The sequence below is a fragment of the Homo sapiens genome, chromosome 4 (genome assembly GCF_000001405.40).
Source record: "Homo sapiens chromosome 4, GRCh38.p14 Primary Assembly".
NCBI classification, from domain to species: domain Eukaryota; kingdom Metazoa; phylum Chordata; class Mammalia; order Primates; family Hominidae; genus Homo; species Homo sapiens.
In genome coordinates this window covers 174,777,891-174,796,150 of record NC_000004.12, presented here as the reverse complement: position 1 = coordinate 174,796,150, position 18,260 = coordinate 174,777,891, and the positions used below count along the sequence as shown (strand labels likewise).

General features: G+C 36.2%; 1 protein-coding gene across 8 annotated transcripts in view, besides 1 other annotated feature; it reads left to right on the top strand.

Moving 5' to 3' along the window:
- Positions 1-18,260, top strand: part of GLRA3 (glycine receptor alpha 3) — a 192,328-nt gene that overhangs the window by 33,097 nt on the left and 140,971 nt on the right. For all 8 annotated transcript variants that reach the window (XR_001741329.2, XM_047416196.1, XM_047416195.1 and 5 more), the window contains one exon: positions 7,208-7,335. Coding sequence is in view for 7 of the 8 variants with exons in the window: in XM_047416196.1 (XP_047272152.1) it covers positions 7,208-7,335 (128 nt within the window). In the remaining variant the exon portion in view is untranslated. The remainder of the gene's footprint in view (positions 1-7,207; positions 7,336-18,260) is intronic.
- Positions 16,791-17,371: an enhancer, noted in NCBI's record as "H3K27ac-H3K4me1 hESC enhancer chr4:175699931-175700511 (GRCh37/hg19 assembly coordinates)". NCBI's record gives its function as "activates a minimal SCP1, AML or CMV promoter by ChIP-STARR-seq in naive and primed H9 embryonic stem cells {active_cell/tissue: H9 hESC(naive and primed)}" and the evidence as "EXISTENCE:reporter gene assay evidence [ECO:0000049][PMID:30033119]".

Genomic DNA, 18,260 nt, shown 5'->3' with positions numbered 1-18,260 from the left:
ACTAATCTCATTTGGAGCCCTTATGACCGAATCTCCTCCCAAAGGTCCCCACTCCTATTACCATCAACTTAGGGTTTAGAATTTTAACATATGACTTTTGGGGAGTCCAAAATTCATGGCATTGAGACCATATGACATTGAGACCATAGCAAGTCATAAAGAAAATTTAAATATTAATCTTTTCAGAATTTTCTCATTTTATAGGCATCAATCTGTAGAGTTTGGTTTTGATTCCTGTTACAAAACATAAGGATTTTGCTCACACCGTATTAAGAAGGGAACCAACGGATCATTTACTTCATTATCTTCTCATTTTTCAGCTCCTGCTCACTTCATAAGGAGACCACACAGAGTAATCGACTGAACTGTGAACACTTTAAAGATTCAGATTTGTGTTTTATATACTTTACTGTTTGTAGCACAGTGCTTTGCATCGAACAAATTACATAAGAACTCAAAAATCATTTTTGCAATATATACCATATATTTGATTACATTATGGTATAAGAAAGGATACTTTTACATAATAAATAAATGCACTTTAATTTTATTAGTAGTAAACTTTTCTCCATTTATAAAAGGCTTATAAAAGTTTGTGTATTGTACTTTAAAAACAGTTTATCACCTCTTACATATTCCTCCTCCATCCCAGACCAATGTATATTTCATGTATAGCTCTCAATACATTTATCAAATTATATTTGTGCATTTATTAATTTTAAGTGCCATGTCAAAAGAACCATAATTTTGTGTTTAATTCACATTTATGGTAAAATATATTTTTAATTTCCAGTATTAAAGAATAGAAAAAAATAATGGGACATTTGACTATAAAATATATAACTGTTTTCAGAGAAAGCAGATAATTTTAGTAGATTTTCTGCTACCAGATGAAATACTTCACATCTTTCTAAAGGTATTTACCAAAGATATATCTTCCGTCTTGGTCTATGTTAGTGATAAAAGGTAGTATGTTTTTCTTCCTCCAGTTTAATTTAATTATTAATTGCATAAACAAGGAAAATTTATATATTAGCAGAAGCTATTTTAACAACATGTTGATCTTTAAAAAGGTTAAGCACTGAGGTTATATATATATACAATATAAATATATATAATTATTTATTTATTTCTAACTTTTTTCTCTTTGAGACTATTCTAGGCATGATGCCAGGCTCTTTGGAACATGTCAATAACGGCTGTTAAATAAATAAATGAATGAGCCACTACTCATAAAACTCTTGTCCTCTATTAAATGGATTTTTATATATTCCCACCCCTGGTGAATTAGTCATGATTTTTACGTAATATACTTGGAAGCAAATATTTTTGGCAATGAAAGTATATTTCAAATAGAATTTTTACAGAACCAATATCAGATCAAATTTCAGGAAAGCAGTTATTGCAGTAGCTCAATTATTGTTTTTTGAATACATCAAAAGAAATGAGATAAGACTTAAAATATTAATAACAATTTTTAACCTTCAAAAAGATTAAGAATGAGTTTGTCATATTTAAACAATAACTATCTTGCTTTTTAAATTTAGTTATTCGAAAGGGATAATTGGGTGCTGAGAGTGCTTGTTAATAGGGTTTGAAATATTCAACCAGGAATTTGGGACAATACAATTATAGTGAGCATAGTGTGTGGTGTGTATGTGTGTGTGTGCGTGTGTGCATAAAATTGTGTTGTATTTTGATTGTTTAACGCTGTTGCCTTCCTATAAATGTCCAGAATTCTAGGAGTTCTTAAGCAACATGATCATATACTACAGAAAATGCAAGCATCACGTGGCACTTAACATGCCAGTCCCTACCACTACTTGTATTTGGAGTAATATTTTTTTAAAAAGTGCACAGAGATGACATCTCTACATCCACTACTGGAGAATTTTTAATACCTTATTTCTCATATTGGTTCAAATATCAAACTATTATAATAGGTGGGTTTCAATGGATAAGTGATTGCTTAGTATGAGATGAGAAAAATGTGATTTTTTTATTTTCTTATTCTATTTTAAGATTAATGTTCAATTGTAACATTTGGAAAAATATTTTAGAAATGAGTTAATGAAAACTAGAAAAAGACAGACTTTTGCAAGATATGATTTGCATGAATGAAAGGGATTATTATCATTAAAATTTAGCATTGGTCTGCCTAGATAAATAAAATTACTTTTTTGTCAAAGTTGTTGGTAGATAGTGAAAATCTTAAATCTAAAATTAATTAAGATTTAATCTTAATTAATCTTAGTCTTTTATTTTTTCTTTATTGTGCTGACTAATACTTGCCATATCTGAAAATATATATGAAAAGATAGATGATAGATAGAATTATTCCTTTATTATTGCCACAAGAATAACAGTCACTTAGAATATTTACTCTACAGTTTTTGGACATATATTATAGGAAAATCCTAAAAACAGACTTTGCATCCTTTCTTTTAAAAGCAAATCGTGGCCAGGTGCAGTGGCTCATGCCTCTAATTCCAGTGCTTTGGCAGGCCAAGGTAGGAGGATTGTTTGAGTCCAGGAGCTGGAGACCAGCCTGTACAACATAGTGAGACCCCATTAGGCGGCTGACACAGGAGGATCGCTTAAGCCCAGAAGTTCAACGTTGCGGGGAGCTGTGATTGTGCTGCTGCACTCCAGCCTAGGCAACAGAGCAAGACCCTGTCTCTAAATATAAATAAATAAATAAATAAATAAATAAATAAATAAATAAATGAATGTAAATTTTGACATTACTTAAGAAAACAGGTATTTTTTTGAAAGGCCTGCAAAATGGTATCATGGTATGCAGTTGATACCATGGGAGTAAATAAAATTACTCACAAAGAGAGCAATGGAAGAGCTCCAGAATGGAGCTGTGAGGGACATGGTTATTTAAAGCAAAGATATAGTAAAACAAATATAAAAAGAAGTCTAGGAAGGCATTATTAGAGAGTGACATCAGCAAAAATAATACAGTAAGAAACACATAGTAGAGTAAGGACCTCCATAAATTCTCTTCTTTATGAAAGCAACAAGAAAACTGGCAAAAAAATAATTGTGAGAATCAACTTTTTCAAAAGTCTGACAATTAATCAGAGGCTTGTAGTGATTCCTGAAGTTGTATATTGAAGAAAAACATTTTTCTCTTAGTAAAAACAGTGGGATTTGTGGCATTATAATTTGCTCAACTTCCCACCCCCTCTCTTCAGCTCCGTGGTGACAACGTAAACCAATAGCCCCAAATTACAGGAAAAGTCCACAACCTGGCAGCCACCAGAGGGGACAGCATGGAGTCTGAACTCCTTTAAGGCCTTATTCTTTAAGAATGATCATTATTTAACTTGTCTGCAGGTTTTCTGGAAGACCCCATTTGCAAATCTATTTTTCTGTGACCTAACTTGGAGTTCACCCACCGCCAAAAGCCTTTTTCCTGAAGAAGTTTGTTTAAAACATTTAGAGTCATTTTTTTAACTTCACAGGTGCCTAAGGCAATCAGTAATAGTGTGGGCACACAATATACTTAACAAAAATGTTAAACGGAAAGCATTGGAATGATATGTCCATATGGGTTTGGAAAAACTGCATATATTCCTGGTTATCTGGAAGGCCACACGTATGGGCTGAATTTTTTTCTCCCAACACTCCTATGTTGAAGTCCTACCTGCCAGTACCTCCAGACATGACTTTATTTGGAGGTAAGGTCTGTTACCTTACCAAGAGGTAATTGATGTAAAACAATATGCCCTAATCCAATATGCCTTGTGTGCTTATAAGAAGAAGTTAGAACAGACACACGTGAAGAAAAGATCATTAAAAAAAAACAGAAAATGGACATCTACAAGCCAACAAGGGAGGGCCTCGGAGGAAACCAACCCTGCTGACAACTTGATCTTGGACTTTTAGAATTGTGGGAAAGTTAATTTCTGTTGCATTAGCCACCTGTTCTTGATACTATGTCATGGCAGCACTAGCAAAGTAGTACACCCAGGGTTGTGTGCATGCTCAGGAAAGACCTGAAAACACCCTTAGTGCTCAACTCTGGCTGACTTTTAGGCCTCACACAAGTGAAAGTAAAGTCCAGAGTAATCAACTGCCTGACATAGTGTTGAAGGTATGACCCCATGACACAGAACCCCCAGCAAATACTGAGTCACTTATTGGTTCTAGAAATTAATAAAATCCATGTTCAATTAGTAGCTGACCTCTAAGCTAACCAAGTAGATATTCTAATTGTCACATATTATAAAGAAAGTAGACTTTACAGAATTAGTTCAAAAAAGTCCATTTAAAAAAGAGCAACAACACCAAACTCTGGGGAGAAAAGACAATATGATTTCCATAGTCGCCACAGTATATTACTTAAAATGTCCAGTTTTCAATAAAAGTTACAAGTTTCTCAAAGAAACGAAAATATATGGACCAAACACAGGAAAAATGCAATCAATAGAAGCATGCTTAGGGAGGCAAAGACATTGCAATTACAAGACAAAGACTTCAAATCAACTATTTTAAGCACATTTTAAAAATTAAAGGAAACCATGTACAAAGAGCTAAAAAGAAAGTATGATAGTGTCCCACCAAAAAGGAAATAATGAGATAGAGATTATAAAAAAAGAACCAAAGAGTAATTCTGGGGTTGAAAAGCAGCATGACAGACATGAAAAATTCAATAGAAGGTTGGTATTCGTTTCCAATGGCAACTGTAGCAAATTACCACAAAGAACAGAAATCTATTCTCTAACAGTTCTGCAGGCCAGAAGTCTGGAATCAGTTCACTGGGTCAAAATCAAGGTGTGAGTAGGTCCGTGCTACCTCCAGAAACTCTGGGGAAGAATCCATTCCTTTTCTCTTCCAGCTTCTGGTGGCTGCCAGCATTCCTTTGCTGTGGCCGCGTCACCCCAATTCCTGTCTCCATGGTCACATTGCCTTCCCTCTTCTGTCTGTCATCAAATATAATTCTGCCTCCTTTTTATAAGGATAAATATCCTTATAAGGATACTGTTTCATGTATCTTTATACATACATATATCCTTACATGTTGTTGCATATAGAACTGCCCTTGATAATCTAGGATAACGTTCCCACATTCTGTGCACAATGTGAAGGATTGTGGTTCAGTATACATAGTCATCTAGTATTTTTTTTTTTTTTTTGAGATGGAGTCTCGCTGTGTGGTCCAGGCTGCAGTGCCGTCGCGTGATCTCGGCTCACTGCAAGCCCCACCTCCCAGGTTCACGCCATTCTCCTGCCTCAGCCTTCCCAGTAGCTGGGACTACAGGAGCCCGCCACTACGCCCGGCTAATTTCTTTCTTTTTTTTTTTTTTTTTTTTTGTATTTTTTAGTAGAGACCCGGTTTCACCATGTTAGCCAGAATGGTCTCGATCTCCTTACCTCGTGATCCACCCGCTTCGGCCTCCCAAAGTGCTGGGATTACAGGCGTGAGCCACCGCACCCGGCCATCGTCTAGTATTTTTAAAAGAGAAGGAGGCAGAGTATTATTGGTTCAGGTCAAGATAAATTGGTATATTTGTTGGTAGGAGGAGGTAGAAGTTTATTTTCTGATAATTGAAAGGAGAGATTTTGCAAGGGAAATAAAGAGAATGGTTTAAAAGCAGCAGCATGTAGCTACAAAATCCAACGATGCTTTTCCACACTATTCTTGAACCATGGAATATAAACAAATGCTTCTTGATAGGAGAGGAAAAAGTTACTTAAAACCAGATGGTAGAATAAAGCTCTAGAGTCATTGAGAAGATAGGTTTTTTTAAAAAAATATATTTATTATTATAATGATTTTTGTATTAGAATAAACTTCCCAATGATCACAATGACAGTTTGGTTGAGCAATAATAATCAGAGATAAAGGATCACGAAGTCACATGGAGCCAACAGAATAGGGAGAAAAAACGCTTCCATTCTGGAAGAAAGCGAGAATGACAGAATGAGAGTCACTGGGGAAACAAGTGACTCAGAGTGCCCAGAACCAGACAGAACCTCTAGAACAGGGCAACAGCTAATAGATAGTGTTATTTGTGATTCTGTGCTTACAGAAATCTCATTCTCATATTATCACCAAGATTGATGAGATTTTAAAACTGTGCCCATGAATCACTGCATATATCCCTGTGGTAAACAACTTAATGATGATGGCTCTAAGCCCCAGTTGTACTTCTCACTAAAATTCTGGCAGGAGAAATCTAAGGAATTTAATAACTGATCTTGTTATGATCATGTGGTGACCCAAATGGTTTGATTTGGCAATGTCCTGAGTTGAATGACAGAGCTGGGAGCATGTGATGATTGATGATCTTCAGGAAGTGACATCAGCTTGAACACATCAGTTCCAGAAAGTCAGTGTCACTTTCCTGAGCAAAACTCTGTGGATAAAAAGAATCATTTGATCTTAACAAGCAGGCCCCAGCTTCTGTTGGAGAAGGCTATGTAAGTGAAGAGCTGGACAGGAGAAGCAGCCTACACTATGGGTTTCTAGGATAAGTGGCTGGACACAAAGGAAAAAATTGAATGAAAAGAATATAGGAACACACTACCTTTCCTGGACACAGGTTCTACTAATATAATATCCAGGTGCACATGGTACATTTATGGCAATTTCTCAATCTTGACACACAAATTTTAGATCTGAACGAAAGGTATTGTAGACTAATGACATGTAGGTAAAAGCAGAATGAATTTAACTTTGTGTGTTGCTAATTCAGGAAGCACTCTAATTGAAGAAAAAAACATTGTTTAATTTATTAGACAGAAGTTTTTTACTGCTAAGAATAATTCACAAAACCTGAAAAGAGATGTTTTCCCTCAATAAAAGCAATAAGATTGTAGTTCACAGTTGAATTTTAATGTTTTCTTACACCTAAAGCAATAAGGATACATTTGGTTAAAAATTGCTATCAGAAATAAGGCTTTTGTAAACACAGATTTGAAAGCTTAATATTTTGGAAGTGGCCTTTGTTTTCAGGTCTAATACAAAAGAATGCCACCTCTGACAATTGGACTGAATAGATATGAAACCTTACAAGTATTGACTATAAATCTATAAATGTCTATCTTATTATAATCTTCACTGTATGATATCTAAAGGTTTATGTTTTGTTGCCAAAGATATTTAGCTCAGCATTTCTATTTTATATTTGTAGGTAACAATTATTAGAAATACTTCTTTTTGTAAAGTCTATATTTTTGTTCTTATTTGTAGTTTGGTTGCCACAAAGGAAACAGACAGTGCAAGATCTCGAAGTGCTCCAATGTCACCTTCTGATTTTCTGGATAAATTAATGGGCAGGACATCAGGATATGATGCAAGAATCAGACCCAATTTTAAAGGTAATTGTTCTGTTTGCTACTTTATATGTGTGTTTTAAATATACTTCAACAAGGTACAGTTTTAAATTAATTCCACCAGAAATTCTAATGCTTATTTTCAACAATCTTCCAAATATTGCATTAGTCACCAAGGTGTCTTGAAAAAGAAATCCATTCCCATGTTCTCAATTATCATAATTTGCCTTCTTTGGCCCAGCTATGTCTTTTTTTTTTTTTTTTTTTTTTACTTCTCTAACTGTTATAATACTTCTTGTCTTGACCATTGATTTTAGGAATATACATATATGTACGTATCCTTTATTTAATTATTCTATCAGTTATCTAACTGGAATGGAAGCTTCTTTAATTGCTAGTGATAAACTTTCCCATCTTTTTAATCAGCCACTTTACTACTGTCTATATTGTGGGGAATCTAACCGTTGTTGAATTTACCTATTGGGAAACAGTCTGGATTGCTAACTGACAGCCTTTGAAATGTATAAGACATTATTGCACCTACCAAATGTTTTACCCAAATTTCTAGGAAAGAGTGTAATTGTCAATTATTTAAGAGTACCACTTTTTATTCTTCTGTTTAATATAGTTGTAAGTAACATGTTTATATAAGGATATGTAACTTATCCAGAACCACAATATATCCTGTAATTTCACTTTAATGGTAAAATATTAGAAAGCTGCTTCCAGATCCCAACTTATTTAACATGTTCTTGAATATTACTTTACCCAATAAAGAAAATAAACAAAGTTAAAGAACATACACTTTTTTCATGGGATTCAGTTAAGCTGTTTCATTGCTAAAGTTTAAAAAAGTGTTGTCTATAACTACCATTTTTCCTTGAATTTGTCCTTATGGAAGAAAAAAAGAAATGCTTAGCAGTGGGTGAAATAACTAGAATGGAGTAAAAAAATATCAAGATTGGGTAGCAGGAACAAAAGAAGTAAAACTCACTGATAATGTCTGAGTGGAAAATTATGAATGGCTTCAATTTTAAAATGAGTTTAATATTTAAATTGTGGATCACATGTCTTGATTTGTTTTTAAGCTTTCAACCATAAATATTTTCAACTTCAGGAGGAAAGCACTGAGTACAAGTTGTGCAAAAATAGCACAGCTTACAGGGTACAATATACAAATGAAAATGAGAAACAAAAATAGTACAGCTTACAGGGTACAATATACAAATGAAAATGAGAAACAAAAATAGTACAGCTTACAGGGTACAATATACAAATGAAAATGAGAAACAAAAATAGTACAGCTTACAGGGTACAATATACAAATGAAAATGAGAAACAAAAATAGTACAGCTTACAGGGTACAATATACAAATGAAAATGAGAAATTTCAGTATTATAATGATCTTTTCCAAATTGAGGGAAAGCAGTATTCCTGTGAATCCGCTGAGAACTAATTAGTAGTTGATCTTCAAAAATATGCAGTTGTCATTTAACTAAACCACAAGACACATAATCGGGAATTAGCAGATTCATTATGGTGAGTCCATATTCAGTGATTCAGAAGTATTTCTTTCTTTTAACTGAAAATTAAAGAAGAAAATGCATTCTATTTTTAAATGTCTGTGAATATTTAAAAAGCATATAAACAGTCTCAGCAGTTATTTTAATAAAACTGCAGATAAGTTACCAACCACACAAGAGTGGCCTCAGTGCTTTTGCCATTCTCTTGGAAAGTTTAGTGTTAGTTTATTTTTTTAATAGTTTAAAAGATAACAGAAACATTAAACTATTTAAAAATGTGATTATTACTATTTATATGTAAGATCAGGAAAGGACCCCCAAGGATTTGGTGTTGCTTAAAACAAATACTGATTCTTTTCTAAGTAAAAATGTATTCCTAAAAACAAGCTGATCACCAAGCCAGTTCAGAGGTGATTAGATTTTGGGGGAGACTAAAATTCATTCTTACACCCCAGTGTCACTAAAGGAAGAAAAAGAAAAAGGAAGATTTTCTCTCATTGTTTTTCAAAATATCTTGTGCTCTGAACATTAGAAAAAAAATTCAGGCTGCATTTGATAGCCAAAAATAATATCAATTATAAAAAGTAATAATTTAATGGATTAGTTTTTAGCTAACACTTTTGCTTTGTCATCTTTTGCAAAGGTCAAACATTATTGACTTCAGCAAACATACTTATAACTCTACTCCCTAATTAAGTATATTCAACACCGTGTCATTTCATTGGATAAAATAACATCATCATCTTTTGACCATCATTTCATTACCCAATATTGAAATATAAATAAAATAGTATTTACATGCTATTTCTTCCTTACGGCTATCAGGAGGATATTTAGGTGCTAACAAACTGAATCCAATACCTAACAGAAGACATTTACACAAAAGGAGGTGAGAATGATCAGCCCTTGTGTCGTCATGTACCTAGGGGCCCACCTCACCTCAGGCAAAAATAAGCTCATCAAACATAGATGTAGAAAATGAAGAACCTGTTCTCCTGATAATATTGCACTCATTTTTTCTCTGTGGTAGTTCACATGACTAAAAATACAATCCCTTGCCTTGTTGATTTTGTGCCTTTCCCCACATCAATGTTTTTGGAAGGAATCTAGTTAGCTCATCAAATGAACTAATTTAAAATTGGTGTTATGTATGCTTTCCTATCCAATTGTCAAAGACAATGAATTAATAGTAAGCAAGTTTAGAGACATGAATATCAGTAATATATATTAAAATTTTAAAAATGAGCATAATTAGCTAAAATAATTTTAAAAGAAGAATGGGTCTCATGCCTCTAATCCCAGCACTTTGGGAGGCTGAGGCAGGAGGATTGATTGAGGCTAGGAGTTTGAGACCAGCTCTGAGACACCCATCTATCCAAAAAAAAAAAAAAAAAAAAAAACTAGCCAGGCATGGTGGCACACACCTTTAGTCCTGGCTTCTTGGGAGGCTGAGGCAGGAGGATTACTTGAGCCCAGTTGTTTGAGGTTACAGTGAGCTATGGTTGTGCCACTGCACTCCAGCCTGGGCAACACAGTAAGACTCTATCTCTTAAAAAAGAAGAAGAATGGGAATTGTGATATATGTAAAAATATATTACTATAACCTAAATGATTTGATCCTCACTTCTTCCTAAACACACAGAAACATAACTTACCTAGATAAGTAATCAGCTGATAGAAAGGTGCTTATAAAATATGAAAGCATTGGAAAATACCTATCTGTTTGCCCTCTCTGGACTTCAAAGTTTTGTAAAAGGCAAACATAAAATTTCAGTATGGACATTATCAGACAATTAACAGAAACGAAATGGAAATGTTTAATCTCATTAGCCAAAAGCAAAGTGTATAACAGTAATATAACATTTTTGCCTTTCAAATATTTAAAAATAAGAAATGTTCCAGCATTATATACATAATTATGAATTTATTTCTGGAGTAATAGTATAAAATTTGTGATTGTTTTCACAAGTATCTTTATATTGAAAGAAAATTTATTTTGAAGGCCATAGTGGGAAAACAACTATTAAAAAATACAAACGACTTTGTAAAAATGCAACTTTGATTTTGCTGCTTTCTACTTCTAACATTTACAAAAATTTAGAAGTAGATTTTTTTACTTAACCAAAATTATGGTGTTTGTTTTTATTGTTTTGTCATTTCTCTTTAAAAAGTACACTTTAAAAAAATCTCACCTCTTGAAGACTAAGTAGTTTAATGTTATTAAAATGTACCACAGAAAAGTATAAATAAATAATTCTCTTAAAGCAATTTAAATTGGTATTGACCATGGATAAGACAGCCTCTTCCATCGAACATTATTTAAATCAATACTGAAATAAGTTAAAATAATTAGGTGCTTAACTCATTAACATTATCTTTCCTTTTCACTGATTAATCTGTTCTCTTCCCCTCCAGAATAGTATTAATTTATCTGAAACATTTTTGAGAATCAGATTTCTCCACTAATGATCCTGTGCCTTTAGGATAATTTGACATAAGTATAAAAACTACTTCAAATTTCTATTATATCTTAGTCCTATTAAATATAATGATTTTAAAAACTATTATTTAAAAGGCATTTAATAATGATATATGGGTTTAGAAATGTTCTGAGAGCTGCTAAAAAGAATTAGAAAGTAAAGCTGAAAATATCACTCAACCAGTTGATCATGCAATAGAAATTAGAATTTTGTCCAAGTCATTATTTCAAAAATTTGGTCTTAAGGAAGAGAAATGTTATGTATAGAAATGGTTGATTTTATGTTCACTTAGGCACAGGTCATTGGTAAGAATAGTGAATTTGCATCTAAGTTTTGATGTTATTAGGGGTTCTTTGTGTTTTTGGTTTTTTTTTTGTATTTTTTTTTTAATTATACTTTAAGTTTTAGGGTACATGTGCACATTGTGCAGGTTAGTTACATATGTATACATGTGCCATGCTGGTGTGCTGCACCCACTAACTCGTCATCTAGCATTAGGTATATCTCCCAATGCTATCCCTCCCCCCTCCCCGCACCCCACAACAGTCCCCAGAGTGTGATATTCCCCTTCCTGTGTCCATGTGATCTCATTGTTCAATTCCCACCTATGAGTGAGAATATGCGGTGTTTGGTTTTGTTCTTGTGATAGTTTACTGAGAATGATGATTTCCAATTTCATCCATGTCCCTACAAAGGACATGAACTCATCATTTTTTATGGCTGCATAGTATTCCATGGTGTATATGTGCCACATTTTCTTAATCCAGTCTATCATTGTTGGACATTTGGGTTGGTTCCAAGTCTTTGCTATGTGAATAATGCCGCAATAAACATACGTGTGCATGTGTCTTTATAGCAGCATGATTTATAGTCCTTTGGGTATATACCCAGTAATGGGATGGCTGGATCAAATGGTATTTCTAGTTCTAGATCCCTGAGGAATCGCCACACTGACTTCCACAATGGTTGAACTAGTTTACAGTACCACCAACAGTGTAAAAGTGTTCCTATTCCTCCACATCCTCTCCAGCACCTGTTGATTCCTGACTTTTTAATGATTGCCACTCTAACTGGTGTGAGATGGTATCTCATTGTGGTTTTGATTTGCATTTCTCTGATGGCCAGTGATGATGAGCATTTTTTCATGTGTCTTTTGGCTGCATAAATGTCTTCTTTTGAGAAGTGTCTGTTCATGTCCTTCGCCCACTTTTTGATGGGGTTGTTTGTTTTTTTCTTGTAAATTTGTTTGAGTTCATTGTAGATTCTGGATATTAGCCCTTTGTCAGATGAGTAGGTTGCAAAAATTTTCTCCCATTTTGTAGGTTGCCTGTTCACTCTGATGGTAGTTTCTTTTGCTGTGCAGAAGCTCTTTAGTTTAATTAGGTCCCATTTGTCAATTTTGGCTTTTGTTGCCGTTGCTTTTGGTGTTTTAGACATGAAGTCCTTGCCCATGCCTATGTCCTGAATGGTAATGCCTAGGTTTTCTTCTAGGGTTTTTATGGTTTTAGGTCTAACATGTAAGTCTTTAATCCATCCTGAATTGATTTTTGTATAAGGTGTAAGGAAGGGTTCCAGTTTCAGCTTTCTACATATGGCTAGCCAGTTTTCCCAGCACCACTTATTAAATAGGGAATCCTTTCCCCATTGTTTGTTTTTCTCAGGTTTGTCAAAGATCAGATAGTTGTAGATACGCGGCGTTATTTCTGAGGGCTCTGTTCTGTTCCATTGATCTATATCTCTGTTTTGGTACCAGTACCATGCTGTTTTGTTTACTGTAGCCTTGTAGTATAGTTGGAAGTCAGGTCGTGTGATGCTTCCAGCTTTGTTCTTTTGGCTTAGGATTGAGTTGGTGATGCAGGCTCTTTTTTGGTTCCATGTGAACTTTAAAGTAGTTTTTTCCAATTCTGTGAAGAAAGTCATTGGTAGCTTGATGGGGATGGCATTGAATCTGTAAATTACCTTGGGCAGTATGGCCATTTTCAGGATATTGATTCTTCCTACCCATGAGCATGGAATGTTCTTCCATTTGTTTGTATCCTCTTTTATTTCCTTGAGCAGTGGTTTGTAGTTCTCCTTGAAGAGGTCCTTCACATCCCTTGTAAGTTGGATTCCTAGGTATTTTATTCTCTTTGAAACAATTGTGAATGGGATTTCACTCATGATTTGGCTCTCTTTTTGTCTGTTGTTGGTGTATAAGAATGCTTGTGATTTTTGTACATTGATATTGTATCCTGAGACTTTGCTGAAGTTGCTTATCAGCTTAAGGAGATTTTGGGCTGAGACAATGGGGTTTTCTAGATATACAATCATGTCGCCTGCAAACAGGGACAATTTGACTTCCTCTTTTCCTAATTGAATACCCTTTATTTCCTTCTCCTGCCTAATTTCCCTGGCCAGAACTTCCAACACTATGTTGAATAGGAGTGGTGAGAGAGGGCATCCCTGTCTTGTGCCAGTTTTCAAAGGGAATGCTTCCAGTTTTTCCCCATTCAGTATGATATTGGCTGTGGGTTTGTCATAGATAGCTCTTATTATTTTGAAATACGTCCCATGAATACCTAATTTATAGAGAGTTTTTAGCATGAAGGGTTGTTGAATTTTGTCAAAGGCTTTTTCTGCATCTATTGAGATAATCATGTGGTTTTTGTCTTTGGCTCTGTTTATATGCTGGATTACATTTATTGATTTGCATATATTGAACCAGCCTTGCATCCCAGGGATGAAGCCCACTTGATCATGGTGGATAAGCTTTTTGATGTGCTGCTGGATTCGGTTTGCCAGTATTTTATTGAGGATTTTTGCATCAATGTTCATCAAGGATATTGGTCTAAAATTCTCTTTTTTGGTTGTGTCTCTGCCCGGCTTTGGTATCAGAATGATGCTGGCCTCATAAAATGAGTTAGGAAGGATTCCCTCTTTTTCTATTGATTGGAATAGTTTCAGAAGGAATGGTACCAGCTCCTCCTTATACCTCTGGTAGAATTCGGCTGTGAATCCATTTTTGGTCCTGGACTCTTTTTGGTTGGTAAGCTATTGATTATTGCCACAATTGCAGAGCATGTTATTGGTCTATTCAGAGATTCAACTTCTTCCTGGTTTAGTCTTGGGAGAGTGTATGTGTCGAGGAATTTATCCATTTCTTCTAGATTTTCTAGTTTATTTGCGTAGAGGTGTTTGTAGTATTCTCTGATGGTAGTTTGTATTTCTGTGGGATCGGTGGTGATATCCCCTTTCTCATTTTTTATTGCGTCTATTTGATTCTTCTCTCTTTTTTTCTTTATTAGTCTTGCTAGCGGTCTATCAATTTTGTTGATCCTTTCAAAAAACCAGCTCCTGGATTCATTAATTTTTTGAAGGGTTTTTTGTGTCTCTATTTCCTTCAGTTCTGCTCTGATTTTAGTTATTTCTTGCCTTCTGCTAGCTTTTGAATGTGTTTGCTCTTGCTTTTCTAGTTCTTTTAATAGTGATGTTAGGGTGTCAATTTTGGATCTTTCCTGCTTTCTCTTGTGGGCATTTAGTGCTATAAATTTCCCTCTACACACTGCTTTGAATGCATCCCAGAGATTCTGGTATGTTGTGTCTTTGTTCTCATTGGTTTCAAAGAACATCTTTATTTCTGCCTTCATTTCGTTATGTACCCAGTAGTCATTCAGGAGCAGGTTGTTCAGTTTCTATGTAGTTGAGCGGTTTTGAGTGAGATTCTTAATCCTGAGTTCTAGTTTGATTGCACTGTGGTCTGAGAGATAGTTTGTTATAATCTCTGTTCTTTTACATTTGCTGAGGAGAGCTTTACTTCCAAGTATGTGGTCAATTTTGGAATAGGTGTGGTACGGTGCTGAAAAAAATGTATATTCTGTTGATTTGGGGTGGAGAGTTCTATAGATGTCTATTAGGTCCACTTGGTGCAGAGCTGAGTTCAATTCCTGGGTATCCTTTTTGACTTTCTGTCTCGTTGATCCGTCTAATGTTGACAGTGGGGTGTTAAAGTCTCCCATCATTATTGTGTGGGTGTCTACGTCTCTTTGTAGGTCACTCAGGACTTGCTTTATGAATGTGGGTGCTCCTGTATTGGGTGCATATATATTTAGGATAGTTAGCTCTTCTTGTTGAATTGATCCCTTTACCATTATGTAATGGCCTTCTTTGTCTCTTTTGATCTTTGTTGGTTTAAAGTCTGTTTTATCAGAGACTAGGATTGCAACCCCTGACTTTTTTTGTTTTCCATTTGCTTGGTAGATCTTCCTCCATCCTTTTATTTTGAGCCTATGTGTGTCTCTGCATGTGAGATGGGTTTCCTGAATACAGCACACTGATGGGTCTTGACTCTTTATCCAATTTGCCAGTCTGTGTCTTTTAATTGGAGCATTTAGTCCATTTACATTTAAAGTTAATATTGTTATGTGTGAATTTGATCCTGTCATTATGATGTTAGCTGGTTCTTTTGCTGGTTAGTTGATGCAGTTTCTTCCTAGTCTCGATGGTCTTTACATTTTGGCATGATTTTGCAGCAGCTGGTACCGGTTGTTCCTTTCCATGTTTAGTGCTTCCTTCAGGAGCTCTTTTAGGGCAGGCCTGGTGGTGACAAAATCTCTCAGCATTTGCTTGTCTGTAAAGTATTTTATTTCTCCTTCACTTATGAAGCTTAGTTTGGCTGGATATGAAATTCTGGGTTGAAAATTCTTTTCTTTAAGAATGTTGAATATTGGCCCCCACTCTCTTCTGGCTTGTAGGGTTTCTGCTGAGAGATCCACTGTTAGTCTGATGGGCTTCCCTTTGAGGGTAACCCGACCTTTCTCTCTGGCTGCCCTTAACATTTTTTCCTTCATTTCAACTTTGGTGAATCTGACAATTATGTGTCTTGGAGTTGCTCTTCTCGAGGAGTATCTTTGTGGCATTCTCTGTATTTCCTGAATCTGAACGTTGGCCTGCCTTGCTAGATTGGGGAAGTTCTCCTGGATGATATCTTGCAGAGTGTTTTCCAACTTGGTTCCATTCTCCCCATCACTTTCAGGTACACCAATCAGACGTAGATTTGGTCTTTTCACATAGTCCCATATTTCTTGGAGGCTTTGCTCATTTCTTTTTATTCTTTTTTCTCTAAACTTCCCTTCTTGCTTCATTTCATTCATTTCATCTTCCATCTCTGATACCCTTTCTTCCAGTTGATCGCATCGGCTCCTGAGGCTTCTGCATTCTTCATGTAGTTCTCGAGCCTTGGTTTTCAGCTCCGTCAGCTCCTTTAAGCACTTCTCTGTATTGGTTATTCTAGTTATACATTCTTCTAAATTTTTTTCAAAGTTTTCAACTTCTTTGCCTTTGGTTTGAATGTCCTCCCTTAGCTCAGAGTAATTTGATCATCTGAAGCCGCCTTCTCTCAGCTCGTCAAAGTCATTCTCCGTCCAGCTTTGTTCCGTTGCTGGTAGGAACTGTGTTCCTTTGGAAGAGGAGAGTCACTCTGCTTTTTAGAGTTTCGAGTTTTTCTGTTCTGTTTTTTCCCCATCTTTGTGGTTTTATCTACTTTTGGTCTTTGATGATGGTGATGTACAGATGGGTTTTTGGTGTGGATGTTCTTTCTGTTTGTTAGTTTTCCTTCTAACAGACAGGACCCTCAGCTGCAGGTCTGTTGGAGTACCCTGCCGTGTGAGGTGTCAGTGTGCCCCTGCTGGGGGGTGCCTCCCAGTTAGGCTGCTTGGGGGTCAGGGACCCACTTGAGGAAGCAGTCTGCCCGTTCTCAGATCTCCAGCTGCGTGCTGGGAGAACCACTGCTCTCTTCAAAGCTGTCAGACAGGGACATTTAAGTCTGCAGAAGTTACTGCTGTCTTTTTGTTTGTCTGTGCCCTGCCCCCAGAGGTGGAGCCTACAGAGGCAGGCAGGCCTCCTTGAGCTGTGGTGGGCTCCACCCAGTTGGAGCTTCCCGGCTGCTTTGTTTACCTAAGCAAGCCTGGGCAATGGCGGGCGCCCCTCCCCCAGCCTCACTGCCGCCTTGCAGTTTGATCTCAGACTGCTGTGCTAGCAATCAGCGAGACTCCGTGGGGTAGGACCCTCCAAGCCAGGTGCGGGGTATAACCTCGTGGTGCGCCGTTTTTTAAGCCTGTCGGAAAAGCGCAGTATTCGGGTGGGAGTGACCCGATTTTCCAGGTGCGTCACCCCTTTCTTTGACTCGGAAAGGGAACTCCCTGACCCCTTGCACTTCCCAAGTGAGGCAATGCCTCGCCCTGCTTCGGCTCGCGCACGGTGCGTGCACCCACTGACCTGCGCCCACTGTCTGGCACTCCCCAGTGAGATGAACCCGGTACCTCAGGTGGAAATGCAGAAATCACCCGTCTTCTGCATCGGTCACGCTGGGAGCTGTAGACAGGAGCTGTTCCTATTCGGCCATCTTGGCTCATCCCCCCTGTGTTTTTTTTCTTTTACCAACCTCACATCAGATCTGGTTAGCTTGTTATTGTTTTATCCCATGATGTGGCTGAGAAAAATATATGAGACATGGTAAAAGCAAAAAAAGAAAAAAAAAGAAAAGAAAAGAAATAGTTATTTTTATTTTGAAAATGAAAATAATAGGTAGATTCCACCATTTCTTTCTCAGAATTGGAAATCTTTTCTCTTTAGAAGCCTTTCTGGTTAGGGAAAAGAGCAGAAACAGAACCGGCCCAGTGAGAGAAAGCACCACATCCCCAGGCGCAGACCACAGGCCTTGGCGCTCACTGGGAGGCACTGCCTAACGATGTTACAGAGTTGGAGGGCCAGGTTAAGAATTAAGGGAAGACTTAATAATCCTTGAAACTGGTAGTTTCTTTATATATATATATACATACATACACACACATATAAATTATAACTTGAAGACTAAACAGTAGGATATTCTAGCTTTGTCTCCATTTGCTGAAAAACAAAATAAAATAAAATAAAATAGGTTTTCATTTTCAAGACAGGAGTAATGCTTATATATTTTCTGAGTTCTGGTTT